Raw genomic sequence first — 27726 nt, 5'->3', positions numbered from 1 at the left:
CCAAGATCTGAGGAGTGGGGACATAGACCCCCTGCCAAAGGTCTTCTCAGCACACGTGTCCAGATGGAGAAAACATAAGGTGGGGTATGGCTGCTGGTGGCGAAAAGAGAAAGATCTGGCTATACCTTCATGGGCCTGCATTAGAGGCTCTCTAAAGTTCTTCCTGCTCTAGAACAATCTAGGACTCCAAAGCTGAAGCAAGAATAATCAACTCACTTTTTTAAAAAAGAAGGAATCCTAAAGCCTGTACAGGACAAGTGGCCTATTCTACACATAATCATTCATTCGTTAGCTCATTCATTTATTCCTTCACCCATTTGTTCTGATCTCTTCTATGTGCCAGGAACTGTTTTAGGTGCTGGGGATAGAGCAGTCGATAATACAGAAAAGGTCTCAGCCCTCACAGAGCCCATATTCTGGTGAATGACACAGGATATATAAAGTAAGCAGATGCCCACATTCTGGAATGTCAGTGTCACAGATTGAAGGTGGCCACGGTTTTTACATTGCTCCCATCAGGAAGGGGTGGTCTTTGGGAGCACCAAGGGAGAATCAACAGCTGTGGGGTCGGGTCCCAGCTCGTCTCATAAGCTGCTGGTGAGACCCTGGGTCAGTCCCTTTTCCTTTCTGGGCCTCAGTCTGCCTGTCTGTAAAGGGAGGGACATGAGCATGTTCTAACCACAGAGAGCCCTGGAGGTGAAGGCCACTGGGAGGGAGAGAGGAGTTGTGTGATTCACAGGCTTGAGATGTTCTTTCTCGGGATAAGGGATCCTTGAAGAGGAGACCAGAGGATGAAGGCAAAATTAGTCTCCACCTGTTTGTTGCCAACTATAAGCCAAAGTATGTGTGTGTCTCCTGTCACACAGCCAGTTCTGAGGCTCCTGCTGTCCTTTGAAGCCTCTGCAGGGCAGTAGCAGGGAGGAGGGCAGGCAGAGCAGGCCTGGTTTACTATCGCGGACTCGTAGCTCCTCTCTCCCCACTTCCTAAGCCACCAGGGGCCTTGTTCTGCTCCAGGATGTGGCGCTGAGGAGTAGCTGGAGTCAGCCAAGAGCTCAGCGCTATCCTCAGGGATCCAGATCCAGATGCCCAGAGAAACCCCAACACCCCTCAGGAAGAGGCTGTGCACTCTGCTTTCGCCTGCCTTAATCTCTAGGGCTAAAGCTTTGTCAAAGCCAAGATTTCCCTCATAAATCACCTGGCCTCCTGGTCTTTCTCTTCTCTGGCATCTCCTATCAGACACTGAAAGGCATCTGGGAAATTGGACCCTAAACCTTGGCGCACCATGGCTCAGGATCTGCCTTTTGGCAGGGAGAAGGGGAAGGGTGTGCTGTTCCCCACAGCCTCCACTCCAGAACTGGGCACCTCCCTGGCTGGGCCTGGGGAGCCAAAGACGAGGGAGAGTTGGTCTCACAGTGTATCACAGTAGAATTGGTATGTATGTGGAGCAGGGAGGTGGGAGAAGTAGGGAGCCAGGTATGCACGTAACCACCTCTTTTCATACCAGAGCAGGGCATTGGGGGGCTGGGCAAGGGCATTTGGCTCAGGACATGGAGCTAGAGACAGTTAGATGTTTCTGACAGGCCCATTTGGCTAAAGAGGAGCTGGGCAGGGAAAGCCTGGAGGTGAAGAGGGAGATGAGGATGTTGCTGGAGTTGTCCACACCAGGTTTAGTGTGCATTGCCCATCGTTACAGCATTCCTCCAGTGCTAACCCTGCCCAGCAAATGCGCATGAGCACCCACTCTGCCAGGTCCCGAGCTGGGTTCTGAGCATGCAAAGTGAAGGCCGACCCCTGGGAGTGCAGTCTAGCCAGATGAGGGCAGTTTTGTGGATCAGAAGGCAGAGATTGGTAGGTGCTAGGACACTGGGTCCTTCAGTGGGATTTGAGAGCACAGGATGAGGGAGATGACACTTTTATGCACATCCAGCAAGTGCTGATGCAATGTCTGCCCTCTGCCAGGCTCTGAGAATGAAATGGGGAGCAAGGAAGAAGTATTCTTGCTCTGGAGCTTAACAGTTCAGAGAGAGGACTGATAAACACCCAGGCAATCACAGTCCTCTTAAGTAAAGACTATGACCAGGGGATGGCACAGAGCAGGGACTCTAAAATAGCAGGGGATTCAAGGAAACATCCAGAGGACCAGGGAGAGGCAAAGGAGGCATCTAGGACTCAAAATTTAAGGAGGCTCTCTCTCTTCAAGTCACACAAGTGCAGGGTTGGCACATGAGACTCAGGACCTCTGTAAATTCTGTGCTCCAGGTGCCTTGCTTGCCTCATCCTAGTCCCAGTTCTGCAGGAAAAATGTATGTCTAAATTAACATCTAGGCTGAGACATAAAGGCTGGGTAGGAATTAGATAGAGGGGGCTTTACGAGAAGAGTATTGCAGATAAAGGGAACAGCATGTGTAAAGGCCTTGAGGCAAGAAGCATCTGTGCCCAGAGACCTGCAAATTGTCTAATCTAGGGTCAAAATGCAAGGCTGAGAGGTAGATAGTCTTGTAAGTTATGTTAAAGCAGTTAGGGTTTTACCTGGGAGATCAATTCCAACAGGGGATCTAGTCATGAACTTTCAGAGGACATGATGTTTAGGCTGGGCCTTGAAGGATGACCAGAATCCAGACATGTGAAAATGAGGGATGTGAGCCTGAAAGAGCTCAGAGTGAGGGCCTGAGGGACCCTTCAGTCCTGCATTCATCAATCTTACTGAGCATGGGCTATGTACTAGTACACTTAGGTACCACAGTAACTGATGATGTTTGCAGATTGACTTTTTGCTAGAGGATTGGACTGGGAACTCTTCAGAATTTAAAGGATAAGTCAGTCTAGACTTTAAGAGCCTTGCTATCTCTTCCTATTCTTTCCCTTCTTCTCAGCTCAGCAACTGTGTCTGCATTGTTGGAGGCAGAAAAGCAGTCTTTTCACAGATTCTTGGGCCCAATAATCATGGGGTGTGGAGTTTAGAGGTTGTGGAGTGCAGATGAAGGCAAAGCTTGTGAACATCAAACATGAAATGCATGCAGTGCAAGGCATCTGATGCATCATCTCATTTTAATCCTCATCATTAATCCTAAAAGATAGCTATTATTATACCCATTTTACAGGTGGCAAAACCAAAGTTCAGAGAAATTAGTTAGCTTTCTTCCTAGGCCATAGGGTATGTTATGGCAGAGGCAGGATTTGAACCTAAGTAGCTCTGATTTCAGGGCCTGTGATTCTTCCTTTGCACTGCACTGCTACTTGGGCCCATGTCTACCACTTATTTACTGTGTGGCTTCCTGTAAGTGACTTATTTCTACTGGGTCTCAGCTTCTTCACTGGTAACATGAAGGGGTTACGTTCCATGGACTAGAACAATACTTCTCAAACTTTACTGTGCCCACGGATCACTTGAGGATCTTGTTAAAATACAGATTCCAATTCAGAAGTTCTAGTGTAGGGCCCAAGAGTCAGCATTTCTGACAAGCTTCCAGGGGATGCTTATGCTTCTGGTCCAAGACTGCACTTTGAATACGAAGGGCTTAACCCTCTCCAAGGGTCCCCCATCCAGAAAGATTGACTCTTGTTGGGGAGAGAAGCAGAGGTCTTGCTCAGGCGAAGATTATTCTTGCAATTCTTTTTCATTCCATTCAGTTTCTATGCAAAGATCAGGGCAAGGAGAATGTCTCCCATTTCGCAGATGAGGAATCAGAGGCTCAGAGAGGAACAGCGCTTGCAGGGTGCCTTTCCCCCTTTGACAGCTTCTTCTTGGCACACTGGAGATCAGCCTCTTTAGTAGGCACCTCCCATAATGGATGGCCCCCATATTTCCCCTAATGGGGAGGACCCTCCTGACAAACATGGAGTGTTTTTTTATGGCCTCAGTGTTTTTCTGCTGCTAGTGGCTGCTGGAGCATCTGTCTGTCCCTCACTTGCAGCCTGGTTAGACTGAGACAGGCCTGGGCTCTCTGGAGGGAGGTGCTCTGAGAAGGAGCCAGCTTCAGCCCAGAAGCCTGTCCACGTGCCTGCAGCCAGCTCCGTAGTGCTTGGCACTGGCAGGCTCACGTTCCATGGGATGGCTTTGGGCTTGTTGGCTTGGAAGGGAGAAGGCACCGGAAGAGTGGATGTTTGCAGTTGGATTTATAGGCTCTGTATTTACCATATTGTCAGGGAGACGGGGCTGCAAGACTGACTCAGCCAGAGCAGGAAGGCTGCACCCGGCACCTCTGGTGGTCTCAGCACACCCAGCCCTGGGGCCACTGTGCCAGGCCTTCACCAAGACCAGCTTAGCCTCTGTCCTCACCTTCACTCATGCAGGTCCCCCTCCCAAGAATGATCTCTTATCTTGTGCCATTCTCAATCTTAGTCCTGCTAGACCCTCCAAAGGTCTTCAAGGCAGCTTTCCCACTCACCTCCATCAATCCTTTCTTTGAACTTGGCCTGCGTCATACAATCCAGCACTTGCCTACCATAGTGCCTGTGTATAGATGTATGCTGCATGGACTTGTTTGTGGGTGGATCTTGTTTTTAACCTACTTCTTGAACCTGGGAACTAGGATGTATACTGAACCTGCATCCTTCAGCTGAATACACAGTCAGCGCTTAGCAAAGACTATAGGATGAGCTCTCTAAAGCAAGGCAGGAAGGGTGTGCTGGAGAGGAAGGGAGTAGGGCTGAGTAGTTGGCACCAGTCTGTGGTGCTGCATGCCCCAGGGAATTCCTCTTGGCCTCCTTCCTCTAAAAAATGTTTGGAAACTATGCCCTATCCTCAACCCTCCCCATTCTCTCCAACCCCTCTGTACCCACAACTATTGGGTAGTAATGCCTGCCCTTCTCAACAGGAAGAGGGCCTGCCGCCAGATCTTATCCCACAGCATGGGAGGATCTGGAGGTGGTCTAGGTGGATGCCAAGGGAGGGGTTTTAAAAGGACAGAGTGCTTGGCACAGCCAGGACCAACAGTCCTGCAAAGTGGGAGAGCCTTGGCAGATCAAGTAGGGTTGAAGCACAAGCACTCATTCCTGGAGCAAGAGCCTCTGGGATGCTTTCCTCCTCCCCAGATGCTGGGAACACCTCATCCCCAGGAGCCCCCAGGAGCCATGACTTGGCCCGGGCAGATCTACAGTGCAATAGAACGCACTATTGGAGCCGTGCTGCTGTATGTATGAGATTTTACTTCCCCAGTCTTATCCTTGGGCCTCGGTGCCTTTTCCTCTGTGACATGGTAAGAAGTTGAGAGGGCAGGGACCCAGCCTCTTCTTCTTTTTATTTTTGAGAAGGAATGATTCCTTTTTATTATTCGTAGATAACATATGATTTACCTAAAATATCAAAAACGAATTATAAGAATAAACAAGTGACTTTAGCAAAGTCACTTGATACTGTGTCCACATGTAAAAGTCAATTAGATTTCTACGTATCAAAAACAAATAGAGCATAACATTTAAATGATTATAACATTTGCATCACACTTATATGAATGACACAGGGAAAAGTTGAACAGAAGAGGTATAATTCTTCTATCCTAGAACTACAAAATGTATTGAAAGAAAATAAAGATATAAATAAAGGAAGATATATACCAGCCTCTTCTTTAATCCCTCTCCTCCTGCACCATGGCAGCTTAGACTTTTCAGACATTTCTTTCTTGTCTCTGTAAGAAAGGATAATGATACTTGTAAATGGATGTAAGAATTCAACAAAATAATGCTTGTAAACTGCTTAGCCTATGCTTGGCATGTAGTAAGTGCTCAGAGAAAGAAAAGCTCCATCTCTTGAACTCTGAGAGAAACACTTACTCCTTAGGACAAACTGTGTCCTCTGAGATCTAATTTAAACCAAACCAGAGCATGAGGCTCCAGCATCTTCAGCACTGTGTGAAATGGAGATAATAGAAACTACCTCACTGAGTAGCTTAGTGAGGATTAAATGAAAGAAAGTATATAAAACAGAACTTGCTAAGTGATTAGTTCTCAGTAAATGTTACTTGCTGTTGCTATTACACTGCAGAGATTTTTTTTCCCATTTCTTTGGAGGTCAGTTCTTGAATCTCGTGAAGTAAAATCTTAATCGGAATTATTTTCAGTATAAAATAAAAAAAATCTTCTTTCATATCCTTGTTCTTTGCTTTCTTTTTTCAATTTAATTCCTTAATACTTTTTGAATTCTTTGTTTATGAAGGATAAAAGGCTCTGAGAAGTGCTAATATGTTTTTAAAGTCTATTTTCTATAAGATCCTCATGAAACTGTGTAAGGACACCAGAGGATGGGATAGGGATGTTTTGAGGGAGAGTAACAAGAAGGACTGGAAGTCAAACTAATCAAACTGGAATCATGAGAGTTTCTATCCTACCTTAGGAGGTAGAGAAGGTGAGATCTCTGGACTGAGTTTCAAAAAGGCTTGATCAGTTTGCTGGAAATATTAAGAGAAAGATTCAGTTACTTTCTGGGCTAGGTGACTTCCCAGGAATCAAAGCCATTGGGGGTCACAGCCTAACAGTTGACCCTGGCCCCACACTGAGCCAAGCGCTGCCTCTGGTTGCAGACAGAGACTTGCCCTTTTCACAGGAGTAGGTTCTTAGTCACTAAGGGACCATGACTAAGAAAGGGTGAGGGATAGCTCCCTGCACCTTTCCCATCCCCAGGCAGGCCAGCGGGAGCACCGGTCCTCTGCCCTAGATGGCCCCAGAGGAAGTTTCTTTCACTGAGAGAAGTGACTGCAAGCAGAGTGGTGGGAAGAGGTTTTGAACTTATGTGTCCTCTGCTTGCTTACTTCCACTCCTCTTTCAGGCTAAGAGCAGGCAAAATTACTGCTTTGAAAATGCCACGTCGTTTGTCCAGCAGTCTACCCTGGGTTCTGTTGGCACCCTCCACAGCTGGGGGTCAAGTCTGAGAAGGTGGGAACTAGACAGGGGACAGAAAGGGCTGGGTGCATCTGTTCCAGCTAATAGGATCATCTTACATCATTCAGTGTTACCCAATCACTGCTCCTCTTGTTCTCAGAGAAAGCAGCCTTGGCTTGAATTCCTTAAGGGACCATGTACCGGGGTAGGAGTCCACGTTCTGAGCATCAGGTGTAGGCTGGGGAGAAGAGCTTTTCAGCCCTAAGTTGTACTTTTCATTTCACAATGCACTGCTGTACTGTGTTCTGCTTTGATCTGCCTGAGAGCCTGTTTCATTCCTCAGATGGTTCTGAAGGGGGTAAACCTTGGTCTTCTGAGTCCAGTTCCTGGAAGCAGCCAAGATGCTTGAGCCGGTAAATTTCACTGTGACTCCCTTTCCACCTGTGGGAACCTGGACAGGGACTCTGGTATGGGGGAGGCCACCCACGTATTCCGTGGCAGAGTGAAAACTTCCCCTTGAATCCTAGATGCAGACCCAAGGCTCTACAGCTGCCCCTTTGAGTGATACTGAAGGCTGAATAAAGACCGGAAACATTCTAGACCATAAATCTCAGGCCACTTTCATAAGTCGGGTTCTCCAGAGAAACAGAACTAATAGGATGTGTGTGTGTGTGTGTGTGTGTGTGTGTGTGTGTGTGTGTGTGTGTGTGTGTGTATGTGTGTATGTGTGTAGAGAGTGAGAGAGAGAGATTGATTTTATGGAATTGGCTTACAAGATTTTAAAGGTGCAGGTCCACAGTCTTCAGGGTAGACCAGCAGACTGGAGACCTAGGGAAGAGTCCAAGGTTATCTGCTGGCAGAATTCCCTCTCCCTTGAGGGAGGTCAGGCTTTTTCTCTTAAAGCCTTCAACTGATTGGATGAGGCCCACCCACGTTATAGAAGTAATCTGCTTTACTCAAAGTCTACTGATTTAAATATTCACCCCATCTAAAGAGATATCTTCACAGAAACATCTAGAATAATGTCTGACCAAATATCTGGATACCATGGCCCAGCCAAGTTGACACATAAAATTAACCATCATCCACATCTAAAGAGCCAGTTATGATGAAAAATCCCTTTCTCAGCCATCCTTTCCCAAGATCCTCTAGCAGCCTGTGCAGTGGTCAGGGATGGGCAGGGTTCATTGATTCATCCTGTAAATTGGCTGCATGGAACCTTGACTTTATGCCAGGCACAGTTAGGTGCTGAAGATACTGCGTCCACCAAGTCACACCCATTCCTTGCCCTCTTGAGAATCCAGTGGTGAGACTCATCTTGAACAAGTAATTGCCTGAATGCATTACTGTCTAATTACCAGGGTGATGAATCCCTCAGAGAAGGAGGAGTACAGAGCATGTAAGAATGACTGGCATGGGGCGTGGCCTGAGACCAAGGCCGGAGGGGGCTCCTCTGAGGAGGTGACACTCAGGCTGAAACCTGAAGGCTGAGCAGGTTGGGCAGGGGAAGGTGGTGAAGAGGAAGGTTTCAGGCCAAGGAACCACGAGTGTGAAGACCTAAGGTGGGAAAGGCCTTGGCGCATTTGAGGCTCAGAGGGAAGCAGCTGTGTACATGCCTTGCAGTGCACAAGGAAGGGAGGTCCTCTTTGAGACAGAGAGGAAGGCCGAGGCCAGACCCTGAGCTTTATAAGGCCATTCAGGATCTTTCACTTTAGCTGAAGGGCACTAGGGACCCTTGAAGGGTTTTAAACAGGGGAGTCCCATGAGAAGATTTGTTCTTTTGAAAAGCACACCATCAGTGGACTGCAGAGAATGGCCTAGAGGGAGGTCGGAGTAGATGTGGAAACTTAGGAAATAAGTCTAGATTTCCAGGGGAAGAAGTGCTGTGGAGATGAACAGAAGAGGACAGATTTGAGTGCATTGAGGAGGTGGAATCAACAGAGCATTGTGTGTGATCGGATCTGGGAGGTGAGGAAAGGAAGGAATCAAAGGTGCATATCATTATCTTATTTTATAGATGACAGCTGAGGCTCAGAGAGACCCAGGGAGATGCCCATACTTACCCAGCCAGTGGCAGGCGAAGCCAGAGTGCAGCCCAGGCCTGTGCAACTCCACCCCTGGCATCTTTCTGGCTGGTTTTCTTTAATTGTGCTAGATTCTGTGTGGGCTGATGAAGCCAAGGTTTAGACTCTGTGTTATGATCCACCTTGACCACTCAGAGTCCTTGACCACAAGCTTCAGCCCTGACCTGGCCCCAGTGATTCCTACCTGGCCTCTGACCAGGCCCTGACCCTGGTCACCCACTCAGTCGTGCTCTTGGCCTCTTGTGGAGCCTGGGCCAAGGCTTGTTGATTCTGTTATTCTTGGTAGAGATAGCAAGTAACCACTCTCCATGGCAGTAGGCTAGGTACATGTTAGCCACAGCGTGGATCCCTCTCCCCCAGGCCAGCTCACACTGCTGCTTATCTAGGGAACCAGATGAGAGAGTGTAGATATTAATCATCCCGCTGGCTAAACAGAGACCTGGAGGACTGCAGCAGCACAGATGGCAGAAATGGCGTGGGCTTTGCAGATGGACAGCCCTGAGCCTGCACCCCAGTTCTGCCTCTCATTAGCTGTGTGACCATGGACAGCTTACTTTCCCTCTCTGAACATGTTTCCTTACTTGTCAACTGGGGATCACAGACCTACTTTTCTAGTTGAGGTATGGATTAGTGAGCTTGTATAGACTCTAGCCTATATTAGGTACTCAATACATATCAGATCCCCTAATTTTCTTTACAGTCACTTATTCAGTGACTACTATGTATTTGGATTCAGGGTCCTTTATTAGATGCCGAGGTTGCAAGGGTGACGGCCAGAGTCTCCTGGCATTGCATCAGAATTTCTAGCACACTCCATCGCACACATAGCACACATCCATAGTAGGTGCTTTGTAAATAAAAGTTCGTGAAGCCAAAGAGGGTTTTAGAGACAGTTGGCTTTGCTGAGCCCTGCATTATCAGATTCTCAGAAGCATTTTTGCAACATACAACAAAAATACAAACATAGAATAATCCAGTTCTAAAATACAGCAGAGACACTGTCACATAGGTGGGTGGGAAGAGAGAGACATCTGGGATGCCTGGAGGGAAACAGTGACTTCATTTTTCCTCTCTTGTCATGAAAGTTGTGTGTGTCACAGTCTGGAGACCCTTTGGAAGTCTGATGGTTGTTGGAAGGAATCTGGAAAGGACCTGGGAAGCTTCTGCTCTGCCCGCCAGCCCCACCTTGGGACTTGTCTTTCTTAGCTGCTGGCCCTGGCAGCGGAGGCAACTTGCATATTTGTGTCTTTGGAGATCATCATCTCCAGCCCAGAAAACGTCTCCACTTCTGGAAATTCACAGGTCATTCTGACCCAGCAGTTGGTCTACCGTGACCTGTCATTCCTAAGGAGTCTGAAATTGGGAAGAGACCACCAAGGGTGCAGATGTGGCAGGGAAAGGTTTCAGTGAGCACCAAGCACAGATCAAATTCTGTGGTCCAGTTTGACAAACATTTAGTGAGTGTGTGTCTAGGCCAAGTATGGTGCAGCAAGTTGAGAGTGCAAACCTCAAAGGTGTTTCTAAATTCCTTTAATAAAATGGGTAGTTCCATAGTTAAGGCAGTTGTGCAGCAGAAGGAACACTATAGTCCGAGAGGAGTCCAAGAGGGTGGATTGCAGTTCTGTGTGCATCACTGACTGTATGACCTTGAGAAAGCCCCTTCCCCTTGCCAGGCCATTCATAAAGTACAAGAGATAGACCACATGATGTCTAAGAGGTCCTCCAGATCTCCCATAGTGTCATTCATTCATTCATCCTGAAGTACCTGTTAAGCACGCAACCCTGTGCTCAGCACTGTAGAAACACCAATAAGGAAAAGAGGGTCTCTGCCCTGCAGGGAGTTACAGCTCAGGATAGGGGACAGGCACTGCCAGGGACCTTTGACCAGTGGCTAAATTCCATTTTTCTCTGAGTTTTGACTGCACATCTTGGCTGCTTCCAGCTCAGAAGACCAAGGTTTCCCCACTTCAGAGCCATGCTAAAGAATGCTTTTCAGCTTCCAGAGTGGCTTCCAAAGAGGCAGCAACCCAGGGCAGAGCCAGTGGGGCTGCCCCCAGGGGAAAACACCCAGCCTCCCCAGGGCCACCTTGAATGGGGAAATACTCTTTTGGATGGAAAGTGCTCTGATTCAGAGTCACATGGTCTAGGTCATGCATCATTTTGAGGACAGGAGAGGCCATGGTCTTAAACCTATAGCCCTCTTGACCTCTAATTTGACGGGGATTAAGCCAGGGACAGGACATCCAGAAATCTAGGGTTGACTTGCTATGTGACTTTGGGCACATCACTTCCCCTCTCTGAATTTCACTGCCTTCACTGTACAAGAATAATTATAACACCTGCCTCTGATTCACAGAGCCACTGAGTACTCTGCCAGGCACTGGGCATCATCCACCACTCGATCCTCAGGAAAACCCTATGATACAGGTGCCATAATGAGTCTCATCTTACTATACATGTACCAAAGTCTCACACACAACTAGAAAGTAGCAGACCAATGTCTCCAAAGGTAATTGAGCTTTCTGTGTAAAGTCTGTACAGGAAGCTGAGGCAGGTCTGTTCCCAGATCTCTTTCATCTCCTGTCCCATTACCTAAAGGAACAATCACTAATGCTCAGTGCGACATCCAGGAGCCCTCTCAACCCCTCTCCTCCTATTTACATCCTCCCTCTCTTTCCTGCCCCAGCACCAGCACCCCCCTCTCCAGGAAGCCCTACCATATCCCTCCTTCTGAGCACTTGACATGCAGTGCTGTGCACTTAGCATGCCTTGTTGGAAGGGCATGACAGGAGCTGACTGGAGCAGTGACCCAGCTCAGGCACAGGAACTGACATGGGCATGCAAGTTCTCTTCCCTTGAGTGATGTCCTCCTTAGAACTCTTGCCCTGTGCATTGCTCCACTAGATGGTCCTCACAAACTGTCTAGTCCAGTCCAATCCTCTCATTTTACAGATGGGGAGACCAAAGTCCATAAAGAGGTGCTGATTTCCCCACAGTCAGCCAGCAGATAAGGTGGAACCCAACCAGCAGCGGAGCTGCTTTTTCCAGCTTCCCTTGGAGAGATTTGAAGGCAGGAAGCTCCTCTCTGCTTCCTGTTACCCCCAACAGGGATAGTACTACAGCTCCAGGCAGCTTTTAAGATAGACTTTGCTGTTTGGCTCCCCTTAGATTTCTGGAGCCCTCTATGGCTAAGAGATGTTTCAGTCTCCTTGGATAGCTCACCATGGGGAGGGCTGAGCGCATGCAGTTCATTCACTGGCCCAGCCAGCCACCACTTACTCCATTCACTCTCTTTTATTTTCCCATCTGTACATTTATTTACTTCCCTTTTCATTTGTTCAGATAATTGTCTATTCATTCACTTATTCACTGACCCATTTATTCCTTTACTCATTTAACAAGCACAGAGCACTCTGCCTGCACGAACTGGGGAGACCTATAATAAAGCAGATGACCACAACACACAATGATTGTACAGTAGGCAGCTTGGCGGACCGCGGGAGCCCAAGAGGGAGTGACTAAGCTCCAAGGAGACACCTCAGAGGAGTGACATCCCAACAGGGCCTGTAAGAATGAGCAAGGATTGTCCAGGTGAGAGAGGAGGAAGGAACATCTGTTAGCTCCTGATGTGGTTTTCTGGGGCCACTTAGAGCTGAGCTTCCCAAATCCCTTGGCTTTTGGTCAGCCTAGGCAGAAGGAACCACAGCCCAGACTGTGGCTCAGATCGAGTTCTTGGATATGTTTACCTCTAGCCCTGACTCTGGACCTTGGTCGCTGATTTTCCCCAGTCTGCATGGAGGCATAGAATGGTATGAGTCTGGCTGGGCAGGAAGAGCTTGGAGTCCTTTCTTTCCGTCCCCGTCTTGGCTTATGGCCAGGCTTCCTGATTATTATCTGGGTGCACAGTTCCACGTGGTCTCCTCTACCCCTGCTTGCCTGAGTTGGAGGAAAGGAAGAGAAGGAGGGAGGGGGTATTCATAAACTCAACAAGAATTTCTTTATGGGCAGGAGAGCAGTGAAGGCCACTGTGTTTGGAATCAGATAGACATGGATTCAGATTCTGCCGTGCTGCGTACTAGCTATGTGATCTTGGACAGGTCCCTCTGAGCCTGTTCTCTTCTCTGTAAAATGTGGCTAATAGCATGTAACTCGGAGGGTGGGTCACATTCTCTGTGTCACCATTGTTGACAGACAGTCTGTTCTCCAAATATGGTGGCTAATGTTTTCCTATTCATCTACTTGCTACACAGTTGTAGCACAGTTGCCATGTGCAGGACTGCCAGAAAGGAGCTGGCTATGCAGACACATAAAGCATTCACAGCCCAGCCACGGAGACAGACAGGTGAACCCTTGCCTTCCATGCAGTGTGGTACTGCCAGGGTCTCAGGTCCACTCAGGGCACTTCAAGGAACCACAGCAGGCTGTAGAGTGAAGGTGATGTTCTGACTGGGCCTTAAAAGCAGAGTACATAGGAGGCTTTCTTTTCTAAATCCAGGTAGCACCTCTGACTGCTAGATTACTTTATTCTGACCTTCAGCTCTTCCAAATGCAAAATGGGAATAATAACTGTTGCAAGAATGAGACAGGACAGCACATGTTAAGAGGCTTTGTAATGGGAAAGAGCACTTCTTCATGAAAACAACCAACCAAACCCAGCCAACCTGAGTCTAAAGCCCTTCCCCAGCAGCACACGCCTGCGGGCCAACATGCATGTCATAGATCATAAAGAATCCGGGAGTATTTGTTCAGGAAAAGACAAGAGGGAGGTGAGAACACTAGTTTCTCTTGCTCTTTTTTTTTTCTTTTCTTTTTTGAGACAGTGTCTCACTCTGTCACCTATGCTGAAGTGCAGTGGTGCAATCATAGCTCACTACAGCCTCAAACTCCTGGACTCAAGGGATCCTCCCACCTCAGCCTCCCAAGTAGCTGGGACCACAGGCACATGGCACATGCCACCATGCTTGGCTTTTTTTTTTTATTTTATTTTTTATAGACACAAGGCCTTACTATATTGCCCAGGCTAGTCTCAAACTCCTGGGCTCAAGCAATCCTCCCACCTTGGCCTCTCAGAGTGTTGGGATTACAGGCGTGAGCCACTGCACCTGGCCAAGAACTCTGGTTTCTAGCCCATTAGAACTTGGGAGGAGTGTCCCATGAGTGACAGAGGTAATAGCCTCTCAGCCTGCTGCCTGACGCCCACCCATCCGCAGATATGAGGGAATGGATATTCACTGTGGCAGGAAAGATAGGCTAGAATCTCAGTGGAGCATCCTGGACTTCAGCACCCAGCATTTCAGACTCACTTTCTAAGGGTTTCCGGGGTTCCTGGCCTATCTGGACTGCCTGCCCAGGGCCTGTGGAACTCTCTCTTCTCACCTCTGTGGCCCACCAACTTCCAGGGGAGTCCTGGAGCCCGTCCTTGCGTGCTGGACTTGGTCCATGACACCTGAACACCATCTGTTGGGTCTGGATGCGTCTCTGACCCTGCTCTGCAGGAGCTGTGCGTGGTCTTGAACAAATCACTTAACCTCTCAGGGTCTGTTTTCTCATCTGCAAGACGGGAAAACAGTACCTGCTTCATAGAACAGTTTTAAGTGCAAACGTTAAACTGTGTACAGTGCTTTGGCTAGTGCCTGAGACATAGTTGGAGCTTTCTCGACTGTGCCTCTCAGGATCACAGTCAGTTCATACACTGGGGAGGGTGTGAAACAGAATGGGGAGAAGAAAAGAGACAAGAGAAGGCAACTGTGAAGTGGGTTTGAATAGAGAAGGAGAAGAGCCAGGTGGGAAGGCGTTAGAAGAGGGGGTGCAAGCCCCCCCAGTCTGACCCTGCCCACTGCTGGCCCATGTCCTGCAGCTTCCCTAATGGGCCCTTCTCCACCTGTGTGGATTTTCTTGTCATTCAGCCAATGTGCAGAAATTTCTCCTGCTTCCATTTCGTCACCCTCTGTGAGATGTTATTTCTTACTTTCCTCCACCTGTACTTGACCTCCAAGATTTGGCAAAGTGCTTCCTCTTCCTGGAAGCCTTCCTTGACTGACCTGGTCCCCAGTAATTAGCTGTTCCAGCCCTGCATGCCTCACCCAGCCCTCTGCTGCTGCCCTCAGTCACAGTGCTCATCCCACGCCTGGTCCCCTCCTTCAGTGTTCCCCCACCTGTCTGGAAGTCCCTTGATGCCAGGGGCATGTTTGATCCATCTTTGTGCTTCCAGGGCTCCCAACAGTAGTGGACTCCTTAGTGGATGTTGGAGTGTTGAATGAATGGATGAACCAATGAGTGAACAGCTGCAAGGGGAGGTGGTGAAGCAGGGGAGGCTTCTGTAAGGGCTGGGCCTCAGCAGATTTCATCTCCGTCTGCTGCTGAGACTGCATTTCCCCCTCAAACCCCGCCCCCCGCCCAGCTAGTGAGGAGTGAGGAGCAGGCGAGCAGCCATTGTCCACTGCTGCTCCAGAGGTGCCTTCCCCTCTCTTGTCCCCTTTAGGGCTGTCTGCGGCGTCCTCAGCAACCCCAGGTCCTTGCAGACCTGCAGAAAAGGCTTTTTCCTCCCAGCCTGCACCCTCCTCCCCAAAACAAACACAGTCACTGCCAGAGAGCCACAGGGGCCAGCAATGAAAAACAGGTGTCTCCCGGAGACCTGTCAGCCATGGCTACGCAGCAGCTTGGGGTCACCGCCTGGTGGGGGTAGGGGAGCGTGGGGGCACGACAGGGCTTACCCTGCATGTTCAGCTCCCAGGGTCCGGCACAGGGAGCAGCAGCCACCTCATGCCCTGTGACAGGAGGCTGTGACTGACAGCACATCCCCCAAAGGCGAGAGGAGCCAGGGAGTTCTGGTTCTGTATGAACAGCTGGACACAAAGACCTGGCCCTTGTTCCTACCTCACCATCTCAGATTTAAGCTGCACTCCAGGGAGTGTGGGAACATGGAATGTCCTAAATCACCGGCTTTGAATCCCTGCCTGGCCTCTTATAAGCTGTGTGAACCTAGGCACCTATTTTCCTCTTGGAACTTTACTTTACTCATCTGTAAAATGGGTCAGTAAAGACTCTCACAGCCTGTTAGTGGGATGGGACTGGGCCAGGCAGCGTATACACATGCAAATGGTAATGATCCAATGTAGGGCCTGGGTGTAATACACTTGTTAAGTGTAAGTCCCCGTGCCTCTGGCTCTGAAATCCATCGCTGAAAGACTGCGTGAACTTCAGCAAGGTATTCCCAACTTCAGAGGCCTTTGAGAAGAGTCTGTAGCCTCCATTCTACTGTTGCCTACCGAGGCAATGCTCTCTGGAGTTGCTTCTAGTCTCCTGCATAGGTCACCCCTCTCTTGCACCTCCCTGCTTTTGTGCATGATGTTCCATCTGCCCAGAATGCCTCGACCTAATCTCCTCATTCCTTGCAGTAACAAGATGTGCTAACTGCACCCCTACTGTGTGCCAGGCCCTGTTGCAAATACTTGGAATACACCAGTGAGCAAGACCCTCCTTATGCTTCAGGTGCCTCTGCTCCTTGTTAATGAATCTGCCTCATGGCATTTGTCTCGCTGTACTGAAGTGGGCTGCTTTCATGTCTGTCTTCCCCATGACTGAGCTCCTGCAAGGCAGGGACATCTAACCAGGTCTATACCCAGAGCACGGGCCACAGAGGACTGTGTCTATCTGGTTCATCCTTGCCCCCCCAGCATTCAGCCTAAAGCCAGTGCCTTTGGATGAATAAGTGAAGGGCTCAGGTAAGCTCTGCTCATTCCCTGGCCCTTGCAGAAAGGATAACTCCATCTCCATCCTCTACCAAGACCTGGTTCCGATTCTGCTGACTCAGGCCTTCTGAGCAGTGCCAATGGACCAGCTCTTTCTATGGAGGGGGCCGGGTCCAGACACCCCGGAAGATTTGGCAATGGAGGGAAAGAGGCACAGTGGGCGCTGGCGTAGTCTTCTCTATTTGTATTGGAAGCCACTCCTTGTGTACCAGCACTCACCCCAGATTTCAGTTATCCAATTGCACACTGCTGCTAAAACTGCCCCTGGGCAGATGAGCTGGCTGTGGGCCCTCACTCCATTCATTCCAGCAGCCCCTCCCTACATTGCTCTGGCTCCCTCCCTGTCACCAAGGAGCTCCCCGCTCTTCCCACAGCGGGCACCGCGGAATCTGTCCAGGTCACCAGGACGGTAGCCTGAAATAGCTGAGGGGGAGGAAACTCCCTAAGAAAAACACTTGTGCTTGTGAGCGGTTTCAGGTCAGACACCTCTCTTCCTGCTACTCTTGTGTCTGCGCAATGCTTGCATTCCCTGGGCTAGTTCTCAACCAGGGGTCATTTTACCAAGGCAACTGCAAAGGAAGGTATTTGTAATCTTTGGGACTGGGGCTCACGACGTCACCTGCCAGGTGCTGGAATTGATTTCAAAGGTGGATAATTTGCCCCCATTTCCAGTTATCCAGGCTTTGCCTTATGGTGTGTTTGGGAACATTGGAAGTCTACAAAGAATTCGAGAAGCTGCGACAGAGTGAGCAGTTCCAGCACTTTACCAAGGCAGGCGCCATGTTTGGGCTGTAGAAGCCAATGACACAGGCCCCAGCCTGACTCTGCCATTTATTCGGTTGCTGAACTTAGGCAAATTAATCAACCATGCCTTAGTTTTCTCATCTATAAAATGGCAGCAATAGTACCCCTCATTAGGAGTTGATAGGAGGATTAAAAGAAATGAGTTTTCCTGTGTAGGCACATAGAAGGCTCTTTCCCCTCCTTGCCTTAAGTTTCTTTATTTAATTGTTTATTGTACTTTTCCTGATGTTTTCAACTAGAAAGGACATGGCTGCTCTTCTCTTGGAGCCAGATGATGGCAGCATGATGAGGTAGGAAAGGAAGGGAAGAGGGAAGCAGGAACTCCATGCTGCCCCGGACTGCTTTCATAGCGGTTCGTATTCATGGGGTGCTGACCGCTGCATGCATTCCTGTCTTGGGTATGTGCTGGGACCTCAAGGGACAACAAAGCAGCCATTCAAAAGTATCATTTAGAAAGCCAGGCAGGAAAGGTCAGACACCTTTGTCTGGGGACAAAGTGCAAAATAGGCACTGGGTAAACAGTGAGCTGGGTTTCCTAGAACCGACTGGGTGCCTCTCTGCCATCAGAAATGGTGTTGTTTCTGATGGGTGCAGAGCACACTTAGGTCGCGCCCAAGTATCCCGCTTGCAGAGAGCTAACATGGAAACCATACTGGCTTGCTCCAGCCTAATCCCGTTCCCAGCCCCAGGACAGTTTGGATAAAAGGCAGCACCCAGTGCCCATGAGTGCTCAGGAGAGAGTGGATCGATCTATAGGAAGGTGGTGAGAGTGAACCTGGGAGCTACGAGGAACTGTAAGAACTGGGGCTAAGCATGGAGAGGAGAAGCTTGGGAAGGACAAAGTCATTTTCCCCAAAAGTCTGTTGGGCTGCCCTGGAGTGGAGGCTAAAGAGAGGGCTACAGAGCATGGAGCTGGGCCTGGTCGGGGAACTGAACTGAAGAAGTAAAAGAACCTTTTCACAGCCAAGAGCTGCCCAGACACTTGAAATCAGTCAGTAACCTGCTGTGGCCTCTGGTGGAAGGCACAGGGGGTTCCGGATTAGGAGTGCTAGGGGCGGCCTGTGCTGCTTCCTAGAACTGTGGCCACCACAGGTCCTTTCTTCCCACTGAGCCTCAGGCTTCCCCCATGCCCTGGAGATGGTAATGACTAGGGAGAGTGAGATGCTTCCTTGCCAGCTCCTGGGACGAGGTGGGCCTGAGAAGAGTGAGTGTCCCTTGTCTCACAAGGCTGAGCATACACAGAAGGGCCGCCCCGGAGGACCCCCAACCTGAGGTGACCGAGACGAAGCCCAGTGTCTCCCCAGCACTGGGCTGCCCTCTCTAAGCCCTCCCAGCATATGGTAAATATCCTCTCAATGAGTTAAAACTCCACCACTCCAGGAAATGTTGTTACAAATTGTTTTTCCACTAGAACACATACTGGATTTTCCATGCCACCTCCAGCACATTTTTGGGAAATCCCAGGTGGTGGGATGGAGGCTGAGACCCTCCAGAAAGGCCAAGGTCCCAACAAACCAAAACCAAAAGACGGCTGGGTTTTATTTAATCATAAGTACATATATGTCTCAACCTTTGAATACTGGAAAGGAAAAAAATTTAAAAACCAGACAAACTGAAAAAACGCACACATTGCTTTGCTTTGGAAGGTAATTACTTTGAATTCAGTTAAACCAACTTGCTCTAGCTAACTAGATTAGTTTACATCTTGTGGTAGAAAAAGAAATACAAATTACTTCAATTGCAATAAACCATGTTTTTCTAACTAAATAGATTAGTTTATATCTTGTGGCAAGAAACAAGGAGAACGGCTCAGAAATGCCTGTTGCTCACTCCTGCCCACTCAGTCATTCAGGGAAGTTTGTTTTCTATTTGACCTCTGGCCTCTGATCCCCATGCCTCCCTCAGCCCCCTCCTCCAAGAGATGCAAAGAATTGGGCTTGGGAAAAAGAAAAACAAAACCACATCCATCCCAACTGCTTTGATGATGAAGCCTTAGTACTTGGGCGTTGCGTGATCCACACTGATTACATTCACTCCATGACTGCCTACTGTGTGTGGCACAGAGCACGGGGCACCCAGTGTGGCAGGGCTTCCTTCACAGGCATGAAACCTGCGTGTCACACAAGTCCCTGTGCTTATTTCATCTTCTGCTGTTGCTGTTATGTAATTCTTAATGATTTATGAATAAGGAGCTCCTCATTTTCCTTTTGCACTGGACCTTGCAAATTATGTAGCCCGTCCTGGTGGACAGACAGCATAGAAAGCATAGAGACAACACAGGGATAGAGGAGACGAGGGCCTGCGCTCTGGAGCTGTGGCTCCATAGGGGACACAAGGGGCTCGCAATAGCCCATAAGCTCCTCCTGGAGCAGGACCATGTGGGACCCATGTCCAGGGACCCGTCCACATGAGGGTGGTGTTCGCAAGGTGAGTGTCGCTTACAGAACTGACAGACGATGCATTAGCCTGAGTCAGTCCAGCCACTTCTGTGACTCAGGAGTTCTTCGGCCTGTTCTTTATCTAAGGAGAAAGTCACTTGCTGCCTCCTGTCTGTGTCTTTCTATCATTCTATCACATCTTACTCTTTCTGTCATAGGAAAGGCCTGGGGAAAAGGTTGTAACTTGCACCAGTAGTTTCTGAGGAGACTGGTCTTGGCATGGTGTCTCCCCAGGCCTGTGCAGAGTGGGTCCTCAAGGGTCAGCTCACTGGAAACAATGAATTTAACCACCAGAATGCCATCTGCACATTACACCCTGCTGAGGTGTCCCTTTATGTGCATTATCTCATTTAATTGTCACAATTACCCTATAAGGCTGTTAGAAGGAATGCAGATTCAATCTAAAGGTAGGCTGGCTTTCTATTACACATTTCTATTTTCCCCCATGTAAAAATCCTGGCTGGGGCTGGCGCTCTGCTCCAGGAAGCTATGGAGGGTTCAGGCTCCTTTCACTGCTTCTCCACCATCACCAGGAATTGCCTCCGATCAAAGGTGGCTCCATCCTCTGCCTGGCCATTCCAGCCTTGGGCAAGGAGAAAGGCAGAGCCCAGAATTAGACCCGTCGGTCCTGCTCATGAGCCATTGGCCACAACTTGGTCATTTGGCCACACTTAACTGTGAGAGGAGACTGAGAAATGGGGTCTCTTCTGGGTGGCCATGTGCCCAGATGAAAATGAGGAGTTTTATTACTATGGAAAAAGGAGAGAATCGACATGCAGGTAAAAGAGCAATCTATGCCATATGAGGATAGGTATTTTACCTCTGTTTTATAGAGGAAGACACAGGCTCCGAGAGAGAAATGGCGTGGCCCAGGACGCACAGCATACAGGTCTGTGCTTTTTCTAACTACTACACTCTAGGGCTTTGAGCTTCAAGAAGTGTCCTGGACTCCCATGGGGGAGGGTACATCTACCCAGTGCCGGTCCACTGCATGGCTCTGTGACTGAGGGTCACCAACTCATTCTCCCACTCTCTGAGTGACAAGGTACTCACTACTTCCCATGGCCATCCTAGAACTTTGTTGGTTAATTGTGACTGTTTCCGTTCAGCAAATAATGAGCAGACCATCCTGGACAGACAGAGCTGTGAAAGCTGACAGGAGGAGTCCCTGATCCTGGCTGAGTAGTCAGGAAAGGCCTTCTGAGGAGTCAGGTTTTAGGGAAGTCTGTCCTAGAGGATGAATTGGAGTTATTGTCTAGCCTTTGACCTTGGACACTTTATTTAACCTCTCTAAACCTCAGTTTCCTCACCTATAAGATGAAGGTAGTAAGAATACCTTCCTGATATGGTTTGGATGCTTGTCCCCACCAAATCTCATGTTGAAACATGATCCCTGCCAGGCACAGTAGCTCACACGTACAATCCCAGCACTTTGGGAAGCCAAGGCAGGCTGACTGCTTGAGCTCAGGAGGTCAAGGCCAGCCTGGGCAACTTGGCGAAACCCCATCTCTACAAAAAATACAAAAATCAGCCAGGCGTGGTGGCACGTGCCTGTAGTCCCAGCTACTCAGGAGGCTGAGGTGGGAGGATTGCTTGAGCCCACAAGGTGGAGGTTGCAGTGAGCCATGATTGTGCCACTGTGCTCCAGCCCCCCCCCTGGGTAACAGTTCCAAAGTGTCTCAAAATAAGTACATAAATACAACCCACAAGAAAGAAAGAAAGCAAGAAAGGAAGGAAGGAAGGAAGGGAGGAAGGGGGGGGGGGATGGGGAGGGGAGGGGAGGGGAAGGGAGGGAGGGAGAGATCCACAGTGTTTGAGATGGAGCCTGGTGGGAGGTGTTTGGGTCATGGAGGCGGATCCTTCATGAATGTCTTAGTGCCCTCCCCATGATAATGAGTGAGTTCTCATTCTATTGGTTCCCATGAGATCCGGTCGTTTAAAAGAGTCTGGCTCCTCCTCCTCCTCCTCCTCCTCCTCCTCCTCCTCCTCCTCCTTCTTCCTTCTTCTCCTCCTTCTCCTCCTTCTCCTTCTCCTCCCCCTTCTCCTTCTCCTCCTTCTCCTCCTTCTCCTTCTCCTTCTCCTTCCCCTTCTCCTTCTCCTTCTTCTTCTTCTTCTCTCTCTCTCTCTCCCCTTCTCTCTGTCTCTCTTTCTCTCTCATGCTTCCTCTCTCGCCCTGTGACATGGCTGGTCCCCTTCTCCTTCCGCCAGGAGTGGAAGCAGCCTGCGGCCCTCACCAGAAGTAGATGCTGGTGCCATGCTTCTTGTAATGCTTGCAGAACCATGAGCCAAGTAAACCCCTTTTATTTATAAATTATCCGGCCTCAGGTATTCTTTTATAGCAATGCAAAACAGACTAACACACTACCTTGCACAGTTAAAGAGAAAATTAGAACGTGTCCACACGTATTTAATAGATGTCAGTTATTATTAAGAGCATGCCTAGCAAAAAGAATGGCAGGAGCCAAGGTCAGTTGGTGACCAACCGCACAGGCCACTCAGGAGGCTGGCCTGGAAAGCAGAAAGTCAAGAGCAGCAGGAGCTCAGCAGAAGCTTTTGCTGGAGGTTCCTGGAGGTTTGAAAGACCTTCCTGATGTCCAGCCCTTGTCAGCCGTCCTAGATTCATGCGCTGAAGCTCTGTAAAGGAAGTCCGCTATGTCTTCGGGGAGCTGCAGTTCAGACAGACTGTCCTAAGGAGCAGTCAGAAGGGCCTCAGGGGCAGGTGTTCCAGAATGCTGGAACTGCCCCCTCCCAAAACCATCTCTGTACATGGTATGAGGAGCCAGAGCCCTCCATGGCCTGCTGCCTCCCAGATGGGACACTGGTGGGACTTGTGTGCCTGGCCGAGCTGGCTCCTTGGCCATTGAGGGTTGAAGAAAAGGCCAGAGAGGCTTGGAGGAGAAAGAGCTGCAGACAGAATGGAGGAAGGAAAAGGGACAGAGGAGGTGGCAAGAGACAGGAAATGAGAGTGAAGGAGAGGCACAGGAGGGAGAGAATAGGAGCCTGTGCAGACTGGGTAGTCCCAGGCACCAGGTCCGTCCATGGAATTTATCTAACCCTTGCATCAACTCTGGAGGTGGGGTAGAAGCCCATTTTACAGATGAGGAAGCTGAGGCCCAGAGGACTTCTTGATTGGCCTGAGTTCTCCCAATCAATTATCTGATTGCAAAATTTTTCCTCTTTTTAAAAATCCTCTTTTTTTCTCTTTTTATGTAATCATCGTAAAAGGCACAAACAAAAAAATTATAAAATTCCACCATCTGGTGGGATACCCACTGTTAACATTTGATGTATATCCTTCTAGACATTTCCCTTTGCAAGTCTGTGTCTCTCTCTATATGTGCATATAGATGAATACATAGTTATAAAAATGGGATTATTATTATACATACTCTTCAGAAACTTCCTGTATTCAGTTCACCATATATCATGAACATCTTCCCACTAAGGTAAATACATATCCATGGTCTCATTTCTAATGGCCACAGACCACATTTAGGTCATTTCCAGGTTTCCACAGTTTCATGGGAGAGAACACTTCTCAGGTTACTTTTTAATGAGAAAAGAAAAGAAATACGGAAAATTTGGAAGAAGAGAGGAGGCAAAAACTTTACCTAGTCCCTCTCTTTGTTCCACCCACAGCCAGGTACCTCAATTTGCCTTACCAAGTGGGTTCTACGACATTGTGATGCCAGTGAATCCTGCAGTTAACATTATTGCTAGAAAGACAGTTAAAGCTCAGTTCTTTCAATCAGTTATTACACAGAAGGGAGGCAGGTCAAAGGAAACACTGTGAGGGTTTTCCTACCAATTTGACTTCTAGACTCAGGACTCCTTTTGCTTTTCTCATGGCCTCCAGCGACCTGGGATCCTCCTCCTTTAGATGGTTAAAGAGTGAGAACAAACATGAGTGCACCCGGCAACTGGCTTCTCCCTCCTGACATGGCATAATGGAGAAAGCACCAGGCCCAAAAGTCATACAAACCAGGTTCTAATCCCAGTTCCCCTCCCTATTTACAGGGCAACCACAAGTCCTAACTCATGTTGGAGCCTCAGTTTCCTCATCTATTAAGTGGAAGGAACACAGGAAACATGAAAGGTACCTGGTAGGTGCAGGGTACAGAATAGATACTCAAATACTTTCTGATATTATATCATTTCCTGTTCTCAGAAGTTTTCTTTAAGAGAGGTGGGCCCACCTGTTCTTGCATTAATATCTCCATTATTCAGTGGCTTGAGGAGAGCTAGAAAACCAAATTCAATGACCATGACTCTCTTGTAAAAAGCCATGTTAGTAGCCCAGCCCGACTAATGAACAAATCCCTGGTCATGAAAGAAAGTGTTTCTAATAAGCATGAAAGTGTATTTGTGAAGGCAGCCTGGGGCCCGCAGCCCCAGCTGCTGGAGCTTATAGCATCTTTGCCTGAATAGCCACACTTTTGTGCCTGGAAAGTGTGTGTTATTGGAGCCAGACTCCCCACTTCCTTCCCTCCCCACGCCAGCGGCCGGCTGGTGCTCGCACGGGCTGCCTGTCATGTACAGGCAGGAGACCGCCAAGCCTATTCCAGGGAGCAGGCCATCACTGTCCGGGGAAGGGGCTGAAACTGGGCAGGCACTGTGTTTTCTAACATTGTGCCTATTGCCGGAGGGGGACCGACAGCACAAGGGATTGGTGTTGGCAGGTCCCCCTGCTAAGCTTCTGGCTGCCCTCAAGAGCCAGGCCAAAGGACTTGTGTTTTCTTTGCTGCATTATTAAGCTGTCTTTTGCTTTTAAGGTTCCTAGACCTGTCATAATACAGGCCATCCTAGCCAAGATTCTGGGCCCCTGTTCCTTTGAACTGCAGGGGCAGCTGTGGAGAAATCCAGCTTTTCCTGTGGTGTGGTTGACAGCCGGCTGACAGCCTCCAGCCAGGCTGCTACCAAGCAGGGTTGCAGTATTACCCGTCTAGGCTTGGGGAATCAGTCTCATCCCATGGGGAGATTGGACAGAGCCCTGCTACGCTCGAATCCTATCTGGGAGAATGGAGCTGAGAAGAGGGGAAGAAAGGCAACCTCAAAACTGGGATCAGAATTCCTGGGTTCTCAGAAAGGCATTATCTCGCCATGGCTAAGAGCGTGGAGCTTGGTGCAAGAAAGCCTGGATTGAATCAAATGCTAACGTGAACTCACTGCTGTTGACCTTTAGCAAGTTCTTTAACCTCTCTGAGCTTAAGTTTTCTCATCTGTGAAATAGGGAAAATAATAGTGTCCACCTCCTAGGGTTATCAAGACTGTAACTCATTATAAATGAGTTATGTTTCTTCAATGAGTCATTCAAAGCACGAAGCCCTGTGGCTGGTACACTGTGTGCACAACACACGATGTAGCCAATAGTGTTTTTCTTTCATGGGGCCTTAGTCAGTGCCACAGGAGGGCCATTGAAGTGGGGAGCACTCAGGAAACCTGGCTTCTGATCCCAGCTCTGCCGCAGGCCTGAGGTATGACCTTGAGCAAGGGTGTGCCACTCTCTGAGCCATTGTTTACTTGTTTCTGGGCATAAAAAAATGAGACATGGCAGGAGTGCTGGAAGACCTCTAAGCCCAGGAGTAATGTGGAGTGCTGGGGTTAAGAGCGGCAGGTGCAAGGGATAGAGGCTGGTGAGATTCCAAATGGGAAGCAACAACCATCAGGTAGCCCTTCCCCAGAATTAAAACCTTGCCTTCCACTTCTCGCTCTCTCTGCAGCTGGTTCAGTATTGGAGGCCAGTGAGGTGACCCCTCCAAAATATGTATGACTGTATTCTTTCACACCATATGCCATAGAGATTGAGGGCTGGGGACAAAAGGGAGGTAGAAAGAGAAAGAAAAGAGAGAGAGAGAGAAGGAGGCAGAGAGATAGACATACAGAGAGAGAAAAGGAGAATGTCAAGAGAGTTTATGTAGAGCAGCAGAGTGGAAGAATTGTGGCATCAGGTGCAAAGGATGGGAAATGTAGATTTCTTTTCCAAAGTGGAGGCACAGCCATGGGAGGCTGGGGACAGGGATGGCTAGGGAACCATGTAGATGTAGGGTGCTAGTTTATTTCTGCTGAGTGGGATGGGGTAGGTTGCAACATGTACTCCCTGAGAACCTCAACCAGAAACAGGCCCAAAGATAAGTCTGGGTTGGGGAAACCTTCAGACATTTCCCTGTTCAGACATCTAGCTACCACTCCCTTCCCCATCCCCAGCTGCCAGGACGGCTCCTCTGGGAAGTTGGTTCTCATTGCTCCTCACGCCATAGTAGTCCCCAGGTCTTGGATCCTTTGAGAAAAATGAAGGAATGGAGTTTAAACTTAGCCACTATTTATTGAGAACCTGCTCCCCTCCAGGCATGAGCCAGATGCTTATACATGTGTTACCTCATTCCATTTGCTTTTCGCAAGCACCCCTTGTCCTGTGAATCCCTGCTTTAGCAGTCATGATTTCTCCCTCTTTCCAGTTACTTGTTCCCTGTCTCCTCTCCTCCTCTTTGACCATGAGCTCCCTGAAAGCAGGCTCAGCCTGTGTCTACCTTTGTTTCCTCCACAGAGAGCCCAGGCTATGGGCTCAACATGTCAGCTGGTTTCTGTAGAATCAGAGTATGTTAACTTAAATCTGATTAATTTTTAGGGAGGCATACTGAATATAATTTAAGTGATTTGGAGCATTAGGAGTCAGCCTATATCGGGAGAGAGCACAGAGGATATTATATTTTGAAAGCAGAGTGAGAATGTAATATATGGAGGGCAATGCTTAACTCAATTAGAAGAACAGTGTTAATGGTGGAATTTCTGGCATGGAGGCAAGTGTGATAGAGAGGAATTGGGCTGTGAATCAACATGGCTTTCCAGGACCTTCCTCCTCTCCTGTACTAGGCTTTGCAGGAGACAAAGGAGGCTGCATAGTCTCTCCCTTGGGAGTGCATGATCCTGTTGTGAAGATGAGATTCTCTCAGGTGAACAGCGAGAGCCCCAGGACCCTGGGGCTTTTCGCAAGCACCCCTTGTCCTGTGAATCCCTGCTTTAGCAGTCATGATTTCTCCCTCTTTCCAGTTACTTGTTCCCTGTCCACTGCTCCACTGCTGTAACACGGTAACATGGTTTCCATCAGGGGTTGAATATTTGCTCCTATAAGAGTTGCCCCAGGATGGGAAAGGAACCATCATATAAATGTCTTCACCTACTGAGTAAAATCTAAACTCGATTTCTCCTGCCTGCTTCTCAGCCCCCAGGGCTTCCTCCACCACACTCTGTGCTTCCCCCATCCCAGCCATTGATCATGCTATTTCCATCTCTTTTAATGGCCTCCAAGACCCTGACCTATTACCACATTCTTTCCACCCATCTTTCAAGGTTAGGTTCAGATCACTCCTCCTCCAGGAAGCCTTCCCTCATTTTCCCTCTGCAAACATCATCCCACTCTCCAAATCTCACAATCAGTGCCCTGTTACAGCTCCTTCTGCAGGCCTTATTTTAGTTTGTGCTCAAGTTAGGTTTGGAGGAAATATGCCCATCTCTTTTCTTCCCCAGGATGAGCTCATGGGTTCATCACATAGGGCCTGGCCCAAAGGTTGTGCTCAGTGGGTGTGGTCAAGGAGAGACACCTCAGAGCAGGAGGCAGAGGCAGGAGAGTGACCTGATCTGACCAAACTGGAGCAGGCAGGCAGATCCTGTAGCCTGGCCTGGTGAGCCCCCAGTGCTCTTGGGGTTAATCAGGGTTACATGTGATCAATAAATATTTACTGGGTGTTAAGTTTTTAGCTTAATGCAGGATTTAGCAGCCATTCTCATTTATGGTAATGAGAGGCATTGCCACCCTGGGGGATTTGGAAAGGAAAC

General features: G+C 48.8%; 1 protein-coding gene across 10 annotated transcripts in view, besides 3 other annotated features; it reads left to right on the top strand.

Annotated features, from left to right (window-relative positions):
- Positions 1-27726, top strand: part of TRABD2B (TraB domain containing 2B) — a 236858-nt gene that overhangs the window by 65939 nt on the left and 143193 nt on the right. The gene's annotated exons all lie outside the window — the stretch shown is intronic.
- Positions 166-335: an enhancer, noted in NCBI's record as "experimental_8236 CRE fragment used in MPRA reporter constructs". NCBI's record gives its function as "activates a minimal promoter by MPRAs in K562 erythroleukemia cells, with activity observed for both the introgressed and non-introgressed 1:48396869 variant alleles {active_cell/tissue: K562}" and the evidence as "EXISTENCE:reporter gene assay evidence [ECO:0000049][PMID:34662402]".
- Positions 3916-4210: a silencer, noted in NCBI's record as "tiled region #2886; K562 Repressive non-DNase unmatched - State 24:Quies". NCBI's record gives its function as "represses a minimal TATA promoter and a strong SV40 promoter by Sharpr-MPRA in K562 cells {active_cell/tissue: K562}" and the evidence as "EXISTENCE:reporter gene assay evidence [ECO:0000049][PMID:27701403]".
- Positions 4568-4737: an enhancer, noted in NCBI's record as "experimental_8235 CRE fragment used in MPRA reporter constructs". NCBI's record gives its function as "activates a minimal promoter by MPRAs in K562 erythroleukemia cells, with activity observed for both the introgressed and non-introgressed 1:48392467 variant alleles {active_cell/tissue: K562}" and the evidence as "EXISTENCE:reporter gene assay evidence [ECO:0000049][PMID:34662402]".

This window comes from Homo sapiens, chromosome 1, assembly GCF_000001405.40.
Source record: "Homo sapiens chromosome 1, GRCh38.p14 Primary Assembly".
In the NCBI taxonomy this organism is placed as follows: Eukaryota; Metazoa; Chordata; class Mammalia; order Primates; family Hominidae; genus Homo; species Homo sapiens.
Note: the sequence above shows the minus strand (reverse complement) of the source record. Positions and strands in the feature narration are given on the sequence as shown.